General features: G+C 36.3%; 1 protein-coding gene across 3 annotated transcripts in view; it reads right to left on the bottom strand.

Moving 5' to 3' along the window:
• The window catches only part of BANK1 (B cell scaffold protein with ankyrin repeats 1), a 284,083-nt gene that overhangs the window by 29,646 nt on the left and 242,298 nt on the right, over positions 1–12,139 (bottom strand). For all 3 annotated transcript variants that reach the window (NM_017935.5, NM_001127507.3, NM_001083907.3), the window contains one exon: positions 1,260–1,328. In NM_017935.5, coding sequence (NP_060405.5) covers positions 1,260–1,328 — 69 coding nt within the window. The remainder of the gene's footprint in view (positions 1–1,259; positions 1,329–12,139) is intronic.

Here is a 12,139-nt window from a genome sequence, read left to right as displayed (position 1 = left end):
ACCTAAAACCATAAAAACCCTAGAAGAAAACCTAGGCATTACCATTCAGGACATAGGCATGGGCAAGGACTTCATGTATAAAACACCAAAGCAATGGCAACAAAAGCCAAAATTGACAAATGGGATCTAATTAAACTAAAGAGCTTCTGCACAGCAAAAGAAACTACCATCAGAGTGAACAGGCAACCTACAAAATGGGAGAAAATTTTCGCAACCTACTCATCTGACAAAGGGCTAATATCCAGAATCTACAATGAACTCAAACAAATTTACAAGAAAAAAACAAACAACCCCATCAAAAAGTGGGCGAAGGACATGAACAGACACTTCTCAAAAGAAGACATTTATGCAGCCAAAAAACACATGAAAAAATGCTCACCATCACTGGCCATCAGAGAAATGCAAATCAAAACCACAATGAGATACCATCTCACACCAGTTAGAATGGCAATCATTAAAAAGTCAGGAAACAACAGGTGCTGGAGAGGATGTGGAGAAATAGGAACACTTTTACACTGTTGGTGGGACTGTAAACTAGTTCAACCATTGTGGAAGTCAGTGTGGCGATTCCTCAGGGATCTAGAACTGGAAATACCATTTGACCCAGCCATCCCATTACTGGGTATATACCCAAAGGACTATAAATCATGCTGCTATAAAGACACATGCACACGTATGTTTATTGCGGCATTATTCACAATAGCAAAGACTTGGAACCAACCCAAATGTCCAACAATGATAGACTGGATTAAGAAAATGTGGCACATACACACAGTGGAATACTATGCAGCCATAAAAAATGATGAGTTCATATCCTCTGTAGGGACATGGATGAAATTGGAAATCATCATTCTCAGTAAACTGTCGCAAGAACAAAAAACCAAACACCGCATGTTCTCACTCATAGGTGGGAATTGAACAATGAGATCACATGGACACAGGAAGGGGAATATCACACTCTGGGGACTGTTGTGGGGTGAGGGGAGTGGGGAGGGATAGCATCGGGAGATATACCTAATGCTAGATGACAAGTTAGTGGGTGCAGCACACCAGTATGGCACATGTATACATATGTAACTAACTTGCACAATGTGCACATGTACCCTAAAACTTAAAGTATAATAATAATAAAAAAAAGAGTAAGATTTATAAAGCACACAATTACATACTTCTGTCCTAGGAGGCTTTACTCTGTATTCATAAGATTTCTTGATATTTTACCTAGAGATTACTAAATAGATTGAAGTTAGTGTTAGTACCTTGTTTCTTAGGAAGACCACAGAACTTGTCATCATCAGATTGTCTTCTGGCTGTCTTTTGTTGAAACACTGTAAAAAGTATAGAACATATTATTTACTGAACATAAACGTTCAAAAAATCCATACTGTAGAAGTCTCCAGGAAGCCAGAATGCAATATATCATTTTCCTGAGTATCAGTTCCTGAATTGTATTACTTTTGAGTAGGAAGATTATCAAATTTACAATTTTCTCATTTGTGCAGCTTATCAGTCATTTCAGAAAGCATTTTCATTGAGCAGAGTAGTATAATGCTGATGCAATGCCTCATTAAACTATTTAAATCAAGATATGATTCCATTTTGATATCAGGTAAGAATAAAAGCTGCATTGTGTTAAAAGCGATAAATGTTAAAATCATATGAAAAATTCCATTTGCACAGAAATTACCCATGCTGACTTTTTGATGATAAGCAAGGATAATGACTGTTTCTCCTTAAATAGGTAAAAAGACTCTTGTATTTCAGAGATGTAATAATAAAAAAGACACTTTATTCTTGCATCATCTATCTAGACCGCAGACTTATTAAAACAGCTTATTCGAATTACTTCATTATCTGAAAAGTGCTTTGTTCTCATTTATTATTTCTCACACGAAATTCTGGGAGACAAGTCAGCATTACTCACCCCATTTTGCAGATGAAAGATAAAGTTGATTGTTTGATATTTATTGAGGACCCACAAAGTTCCATATAGCTTCTGGCATTTGTTAATAAAAAAGTCCAGACTCTTTACAACTTTACTTTAGAAAATGAACATCCCAGAGTTACATTTATTTTTTATGGGCAGTGTGAATTACAGGGTTTGGGAACTGGAAAAGGCTTTGGAGATTTAGTCCAACCTCATATGTTTATAGATGAGGGAGTTGGAAGTAACTAGCTTGTAAAAAGGCTAAGTAATTTTGCAATGATCTCAGAGTTGTTGTTAGCAGAGATGTGATTTAAACCGAGAAGCCTTGAACTTCAATCTATTGCGTGGTTCCTTACAGCACTACTGCCACTTCCCCTCCATAACTATTATCTTATAAAGGTAAAGAAGGAGATAGAGGGAGAGGATTAAAAGGGAAATTAGAACATTTCCAACACAGTTGTATCTCTTGTTCCTTTTAGCAGTTCGACAGAATTTCCTGGGATAATTGAGCTGAGGCCTGTGGGAGTGAACGTGTTTTAACTGGATGGTGCTGGACCACTGTGATTGGCAGAAACATCCCGACAGTTATCCTAGATTTCTGTCTTTGGTTTTTATATTATTTAAACCAATATAAGATCAAGGACATATCTGTGATTAACCCCGGAGACGTTTTTTAGATGAAAATTTCCCCCCATCTGATCAAAAATTAGTAATTAAAAATGTATGATTTGCCAGATGCTGTCAAGACAAAGAGTACTCCCTTCAACTGTGCTCTTTTAAACAGAAGAGGCAAAATATGTTTCAAAGTTTGACGTGTTTGAGAAAAAGTATACACATAAAATCATATTTTTGGTTGAAAACCAGTTTTCTGCTTCAAGTTAGTACATGGAAAACATGCTAAATATAACTAACTGGCAAGTTCTGGGTTTGTGGCTTACTTACATTTTTTCTAAAATAAAATATATTGAGGAATATATAATGTATGACTATACGTTAGGATATTAAAATAAATGTTGTAAGAGGTACTTGATTTTTTTCTATTTGCTAGTTTTAAAAGTCTTTAAAATGCAATGCTTTAAAAATTTTAATAACGTGGTCTCTATGCTTTTTTGCCAATATTGTTAAGATATAACTGAGAATGGTTAAGAGGAAAAAGCTGGCGTCATTCATATGGGAAATGACCTGAATCCAAAGATCTATTCAGATAATAAATTCTTCAAATAAAAATTACATTAATTGATAAGTTTTTAAAATTCTGCTGAGGTTTGAAGCTACAAAGTACTTGGAAATGAAATTATTTTTCCAGCTTTTTGGCATTAATTTGTTACAAATCACTTTACACCTTATATGTTACTGGAATCCTTTTTGCTGATAACAAATGCTCAGCCTGTGTGAAATAACAGTAAATGTTAAACAAATAAATGCTGTCTTTCAGTTACTAGATTAAGAAGTTACAAGGATATTTATTGTCGCGATTTCACCAGGGCTTATATTCGGAACAGCTGGGGACAAGGGCAGAATATTGGGATGAGGCTGTAGGATACTATGAGTGGGGTAATTGTGAAAATGCTGATAATACGACTCTTTAAAAGCAGACGTGTAGTAGGTCATGCCCAGAGTTTAAAGGTTCCCTCTACCTGCTTTACCCACCTCTGAGTTCTCTTTTAATTCACTTGCAGCTGCACCCATACCTCTAGGTTCCCTTTCTCCCACCTACAGATGAGTCTCACTTTCTAAAAAGAAAACAACTAGCAATTAGCATATTGCCAAACACACTGTCTTCTCATCGCTTTCAGTTGGGGAGGTATTTTTAAATATGAGGCAACCTTGGGAAAAGACCTATCTTATTTCCTGAAGAAAGCACTAGCCCATCAAAATTATCACTGAAGCAAACACACCTGTCAAGGACACATATTCCATTAGAATAGATACAAGTAAAATTTCAGAATCTGTTCATCTTTCTATCTTTATAGTTCCTATTAGCTGAAACATTTAAAATTGCTTCAACTAGCAAAACCTTTGTTCTAAAAGACTTTATGTACTTTATATTTACTATGTTCAGCCACCCCACACCACCTTTACAAGAGGTAGATATAAAATCCATAACAGGGTGAGAACTGAGTGTAGGGTTATAGGTCACTCAGATTTATATACAAAAGTACATTATTTTGTAAAGCAAGAGTTGTGGTTAGTTAGACGAGAATTTGTTTTAAATGTATTGTAACCAAAAAGTTGTATACCAGAATACTAGCCAACTTGGCACAGAAGATGGGCTATAGTTTTCTCTTCATATCAACCACATGAGTGACATGGAAAAACGGCTTTTCCCTCTTTCTCCCCAACACCCTTCTGGCCTTTATTTTCTTGCCAATAAAGTTAGGGCTTAGATGTGACGATCTCTAATGTTTCACTCAGCTCTAACATTCTGAGATGTTACCAATTCTTCTTTCCCAAGACACTCCAGGTCCAACGGTGCTGGGAAAAATTCTTAAGTGAGTATGAATTTAAGTGGAATGCTATGTTTTGAGGAAAATATTATTTATAACCTGGGGGGCTTAGACTAACATAAAAATGAGAAAGTTTTAAATCATAGGCCAGTGGTAATTTTTTATCATATATTGAGACAATCCTTTCCCTATGTGTTTGAATTCTTAAAAAATTTACCTCATAAATGTTCAAAACATGCTATCAAAGTAATTAGGATATATGTCAACTTTGCTGACTCTCTCCCCAGTGAAATCTTATTTTTCTCCTCCTACCTAAAACTGAAATTTGAGAAGAAAGAAATATGAATGCATTATTAGTCGTTGTCACCACCTTTAAACATAAAAAGTCCACAGACAAAACAAAACAATTTTTGCGGTTTAAAATAATCCCAAAGAATACAAATTTCCCAAATAATACCCTTTTTTATTTTAAACATTGGTAGAATGACTTCTGTAAAATTTTCTCTAGAATATGACATTGAATGGAAAATTAGCATATCATTAAATATTCAAAATGTTAAGTAAAGCAGAACTAGCAGAAGAGCAGAGGAGGAGGAGAAGGTGAAATTTAATGAGTTCACTTGCACTACTTGTCTTTCCAGGCTGCATCTGCGAGAATATTCTTCATGTCAACCTCATTTGTGGTCTATTTCAAGCAAAGGGACCCTTCCATAGCTGCCCTTCTTAGAAAATCTGATAAATCTTATTTTGAATTATTTCATAAGTGGCTATAGTGATAAAAATCTGTGCAATTAACAACAACATTCATTTTGTGAATGATAAACCACAACCCCCTTGATGGTTGTCCATTAGATGTGAACAGTGAAATGTTATTTAGAGCTGTACAGCTATCATTGATGATAATGCTTGAAAATAGAGACTTTATATAAAATAAAATACATAGATTCGTATTGTGCTCTGGGCTTTCAGGGGATGATGCAGTACAGGATGGTAGCAGTGTGTTTATTTTTCACCAAAACACCTTTCATTAGGTTGCTAACTACATGGCCAAGTCGTGAGGGTGCAAAGGTAAATAAGACACAGTCATAGTTTTCATACTGTCCTCTGTTTTGGTGTGTTCATTTAAATAAAGGTCAAATGTGCCATTACTGCTTACTGATAAGAGGGGATAGGGATGAGGAACCATCAGGAAGGGTCAGAATCATAACTCAATCCTTGTAGCTCTCTATTCTCCCTGCCTTGTTTCCCCCAGCTTCCCAATTTATACTGTTTAAATCTAATCACAAAAAGGCTCAATAAAGTAAAAAACAAACAAACAAGCAACCACAGTGTAAATAAACCCTTTGTCTAGCCAGCAAATACAGGAAACACAGAATGTTTTAACCGTATAAGCAGTCATGTTGATTAATCTGAAGCTTAGAGGAAAGATGTATGTAGGTAGCCTCTTTGCAAATTCACCAAGACAGACTGAGTGCTCCAGTTAGTTCAAAGCCACCATTTAATTGTGCTAGCAGTATTTATAGGTTATTAACTTGAGAAACCTTATCAAATACAGGCCATTACATTTCAACGGGTACATTCAAGGTGTGGACACAGACAGCCACATCAGCCACATAGTATAAAAATCTTTCACCTGAAACCAGTTTACTGCATGGCAGACGTATGTAGGTGGAGTTGTGGCATTATTTTTTTAAGAAGAATCTGTAAATGGTCAGCCAGAATATATGAGATCACTGACTTGGGTTACGGCTTACTATTCAGATAAGCAGAGATGGAAAGGTGGAAAACACACTGCTGCATGAAGGAAAATGGCGTAAAAATTCTAATTCAGTGGTGGTATTAATAACTGCTTTAGTTTCCAGAGGAGAAAACATTAATTTTCCTTTCAAGTTGTAACAAAAACTTGGTTTGATAGAAGTGTTATCATTGAAAGCATCTCCTAAAGGAAGATTTGGGAAATCCCACTATAAATCTTTTTTTCTACTACTAAGGGACCTAACTTTTACCAGAGTAGAACACAAATTGTTTTCATTTGCATATGTCATCTTTCGATACAAACACAAATATTTACATTCTAGAAACTTTTATAATCCAGGAAGGTGAGCCATTCTGAGTGATGACAATTGGTTTGTGGAGCTTGCTCTAATTATAGCTTGAGACCATGGCAATGCGTTTATTAGTAAAACCTCCAGTCACCACTGGGTGAGCAGTCTTCCTCCCTCCTGTTAGCAGGAGGCAGCATGTATTGAACAACTATTGCTTGTATAGCACTGGACTGGGGGTTAGTCTCCTCCCATGAGACTTCATTTGGGATCATCTATTTAATTCTCTTATTACCCATTTGTATTCAATAAGGAAATGGTATAAGTATGGACATAACTCTAGTAACATTCTGAGCAATTTTCTTTTGTTTCAAAGAGAAGTAGTTTGGGCAGCCAATGGAAGACTCTGCAAACTATAATGAGTTTACTTTTTGGTTCATGCTTAGTGATTATCAAAAGTAACTTGCCTCCCTCTCCCTCAATCAAGAAATGTTGCTGTCCCAAGAAGTAGCATTGGGATCATGATTTGCACTGTTATATTTCACAGGATGATAAAACTTGGTACTCTAATATTTTGTTCTCCCTTAAATTTAAAGATCAGCTATTTGATTATGCTCACTTTGAACAAACATTAGAGTTTAATTCTGCTAACAAGATTCAAATTACATAAATGCAGATTGAAAATTCCAAAAGGATTTCAAAAAGGATTCCAAAAAGCTCTCAAAAAGGATAGGGCTGGCCCCTTTGTTCTAGATAGTATTCAATAGTGGAAGTTAATAAATACTTTGAAAAAGTCATGCAAGGTGATGTGTTGGCATATGAAACCCATGCAAAAGGGAAGAAGCAAAAGGCATCCTAACTGGGGTGATATGCCAGGTCTACTTTCACCTCTGTGTCTACAGAATACCTTCCATCACAGGAACTATCATTTCCTACATGCTACCCTGTGCAGGCCACTGTACATATATGGTTTTAGTTCTCATGAAAACCCTGTGAAGTAGGTATTACATTTCTTTAAAACCAAAACCAAAACCAAAAACACATGAAGCAAGGTTATGTAATTTTCACAAAGTTACACAACTGTAAGTGTCAGTCTTCAGTAAAATTCCGTTCCATCTGGCTTCATAATCCTCATGAATTTCACTACACAATGCTGCTGGTCCGTTAGGGGAGACTCTTTTCAATTTTCCAACCTCAGGAAGCATCTTATTTTTCTCGAAGAGCTACTTATTTAGATTACAAAGAATCACGTGTTAAAAGTCCTGGTGGAAAATATTCTGAATTCAAGAAATCTAAAGTGACTAAAAAGACAGTAGTTGTGGATAGCTGTTTCATATGGTTGTTCGATGCACCTGTGATTTCATCTATAAATAATCATTCTCTAAAGTATTTCTTTACTCTGGCTTAACAATGGAAATAATCCAAGTAAGAGTTTCTTAACAGTGTTACTGTTGACACTTTAGACTGGATAATTCTTTGTTATGGGGCTGTCCAGTGCATGTAAGACATTTAGCAGCATTCTTGGTCTCTGCCTAGCAGATGTCACTAGTACTGTTCTTAGTCTTGACAATCAAAATGTCTCCAGACATTGACAAATGTCTTATGAGAAGCAAATCACTGCCAGTTAAGAACTACTTTTATAGGTCAATTAAACTTCTTCCTACAGATGCTTTTAACAAATAGTAACATCATATGTTAAGTGGAAAAAGACCAGAATTCATTGTGCTGTCGAATGAAAATCTAAGTGCTTGATAATATTTGCATTCATTGTCTTGTGTAATGAAAATCTTTTAATGTCAGTTCACGCTACAGCTGATTACTGCCTCCTTCCCATTTTCACTAATATAAAGGAATTGAATTCTTGGAAGATGAGGCTGGAAAATTTCATCGTCATTACGTCAACATGCTAACAGATGGTCTGCAAAGCACTTCTCAGGTTTCATTCAGTATTTCTGTGAAGAAGCCAGGGGATCATGATGTTCTACTGTGAGAATGACAGAAAGAGCAAACAAGAACACCTGGGTTACACGAGCTGACTTGCTTCTCTTCAATGGACAGTATGAACACAGGTCAGAATAATTTCTCCTTTGCAGAGCTACACCAGCACTCTCTCATGGAAAAGAATGAGGCAGAGTCAAGGGAGAAAAACAGGAACATGAGGCTTACAAATAATGATAAATATGTCACTATTCTGAGAGCACCTGTGATATACATACTATGTCCTTAAACTAAATGGTTTGGACAAGGTCACCTATCCAGGGAGGAGGATCCAAGGCAGTTGATCTAAGACCTACTTCAATCCACTTGACCGTATTTTACTAATGAGGACAGAGACCATTATACTCTGTCACGTTTACAATGATATGAATAAATTTTCCTAACAGTTTCTACAAGGTCTTTTTTCTCTTTTTGCATTTCAATTGCATTGTATGTGATCAATTTCAAGTACAAGTGAATTGCAAGTGGAAAACTTCTGAGAGCAAGTGAGTTGCACTTGACATTTTGGGTTCCCTGTAGCTGAGTAGCTCTCAAAAAGGTCACATACAACTTTGTTGCACTGCAAAATGCCAAGGGCAACTCAGTAGCAATTGGAAATTGAAAGGGAAATTATATTCTACCAGAAATCAGTCACATGGATTCTGAAGAAAGATCTTTGTTCTATTAATTGTGTGTGAGGAAAATAGAAAATTGCCCATTGATGCTGAAAAATTTTACCCAATAGGCATTCATCTCTTTGCATGATTTATGGACGTAGTTTCACTACCAATGTATCTATGCCATGCCAAGTGCTCATTTTCTTTCCCTGATTTGTCTTAAATCAAGAATTCTGTCACTAAAGACCATACATCCATGTTAATTCCTCTGTATTCTTCAAGCTTAATGAACCCGATCCTCTTCAATATTACAGGGATAAAAAAAAAAGTAGAGGAAAATATATCTGAAAACAGGTAGACTTCAAAAAATTTTACTTATGAAAAATGAGTTATTCTTGTGATTGTTAACCTAAGATCTGGCTTAGTACAACAGCAATGGGATAAAAAATCAGAAACATATATCTTGATAAAAAAAATCAACATGGGTTCAGTTTTTTTTTTTTTTTTTTGAGACGGAGTCTCGCTCTGTCACCCAGGCTGGAGTGCAGTGGCGCGATCTCGGATCACTGCAAGCTCTGCCTCCCGGGTTCATGCCATTCTCCTGCCTCAGCCTCCCAAGTAGCTGGGACTACAGGCACCCGCCACCATGCCCGGCTAATTTTTTGTATTTTTAGTAGAGACGGGGTTTCACCGTGTTAGCCAGGATGGTCTCACTCTCCTGACCTCGTGATCCGCCCGCCTCGGCCTCCCAAAGTACTGGGATTACAGGCGTGAGCCACCGTGCCTGGCCAACATGGGTTCAGTTTTGCATTAATAAGTTATGTCTCTGGGGTAAGGGGATGATGATGATGGTGAAATAGAGCTTCATGTTTTAAGCTTTGCGGAAGCAGTTAGAGTGCTTAGCTGTATATGAATAACCTAGAGCTTTGTCCAGTTCTGTGTGGGCTCTTCCCTTCAAATTGGTAGTGTTTTGGACATAAGATGGTTTAAAGCAGGATAAATTTAGGAATCAGTAGACTGATATAGTCTTCTGATTCCAGAGTGTTAATGAAGTCTTCTGTTCTACCCACACTGATGTGGATCTTGTCACTTCTATCATTTCATTCAGTTAATATTCACCAAATATTCAGAGTTTCTACTATGAATTCAGCACTGATCTTGGCACCAGAGATACAATGGGGAAAACAGATTAGTTTGGTCTCTTCCTTCATGGATCTTATAGGTTAGAAGGAAGAAATAAATATTAACAAGTAATCCAGGAATAAATATATCAGTGATGGAAATTTGTGGTGCCATGTACTCAGGCATGAGATCCAGATTAATCTGGGTCCAAATCCTGCCTCTTCCTCTTCCTGGTTTTATCACTTTGGGAAAGACGTTGGCACTTACTGAGCATTAGTTTCTTTATCTCTAAAATGAAGTTATCAATGCCAACTATGTGGGGTTATTGCATGAATTAGCAATTATCATGAAAGCTGCCTAATGATAATTATTATAAGAAGATGACTAAGCCAACTTGTTCTGTTAGAATACAGGGTCTTCCTTCCCTCACACACTCCAGCACTACTATTTTCCCTAACTTCTGATTCCACCAGAATCCAAGAAACAGACACTAAACTGAGAAAAGAAAAAGTAGAATTGTTTTAATTATAATGCATTGAACATATACCACATGTCAAGTATTGTGCTGGGTATTTTCTAATTTTATCTCATTTAGAGATTAAAAATCTTTGAAATATATATTTGTATCCCCAGCTTACAGTGAGGAAATTCAGTCTCAGATACGTGAATTTGCTTGCTTGGGTAATATCAGCTAAATTTGGACACAAGTCTTTCTGCAAAGCCAGCATGGTTTTCCTTTGCCTAGTTCCTTTGCCATTACTTCTTCAGTTTCTGAAATAGTAAGATGGGATTCTGCATTCCTGTATTTTTCCTCTATCTTCTATTCCCAATCTTTCCATTCTGGCTATTAACACACCCTGAATACACCAATATACTGATACCATTTTTGGGCTCTGGCAAGCAATGGGGCCAGAAATTAATCTTCTAATTGAGTGAATGGTTTTCTGGGAAATGGTGGCAACTTGACTTAATAGATCTGCCCAAGCTAGGGGAAAAAAAAAAGGAAAGATGTGAGGAAAGGCTCTTACTCTGTGAAATGCAAAGAACACCAAGAATGAATTAGCTGATGAGGTAATCTCTTCCTAATGTGGGAACAGAATGATCAACAATCAATTGCATAAAAGAAAAAGGCAGGCAAGTATATCCCAGTGAAAGAGAAAAGGAAATAAAAAATGGAAAAGGATTTTGGTGACATTATTTGTAGTCCAGCTTTTGCTACTTATTTGGGATACAGGGTAAATAACCATACCTATTTTATATACTTAATTGCCAAAAAAAATTATAGCACTAGTTTTCATCTCCATGTAATACAAATATAATGAGAGTAAATTATATTGTTATCATTGAATTAGAACGACAACTTATAAATATTGAAGGGTGCCAGTCTTGGGATGGGTGAGATAAGTAAACTTTAAAATTTATTAGAAACTGAAGATCTTTAAGATTCTTTAATGTTTCTACGTGTGCATATACCTACAGGACAAATTGCAACATTGCATGTACAAAATTTACATACTTAGGACACAGGTTTTATCATTGGCACTCAATCGATGTTTATGTAACTAATAAATAAACTTAGTACACAGGTTTTATCATTGGCACTCAATCGATGTTTATGTAACTAATAAATAAATCAATGAAAGGAAAACCATCCAAATGTACTTATTTTACTTAGGGATGGGTTGAAAGCCTAAACCAGTCATGGCCCCAAGTTCTTTCTCCAGTCCTGTGAATTGAAGCACTCACCCATAATGGGAGGGTTCTTCATTAGAGAAATTGAACAGAAGTAGTTTTGGACATGGTACACAAGGCACACTGGGTGGCAGGAATTACATACGAGACGGAAAACAGGGAGAACAAGTTAAATTGTGCATTCTGAATGGTGAAATTTCCCAGTCTTTTTCCCGCATTCTAATCTCAGCATGCTGGGAACTGGATATGTAAGTGCAGACTACAGTTAGTTGAAGAGTATTCTAGAAAAAGTTAAAAGCATAGGTGAATAGACTT

This window comes from Homo sapiens, chromosome 4, assembly GCF_000001405.40.
Source record: "Homo sapiens chromosome 4, GRCh38.p14 Primary Assembly".
In the NCBI taxonomy this organism is placed as follows: Eukaryota; Metazoa; Chordata; class Mammalia; order Primates; family Hominidae; genus Homo; species Homo sapiens.
The sequence above is the reverse complement of the archived record's forward strand: the minus strand, read 5'-3'. Positions and strand labels throughout refer to the sequence as shown.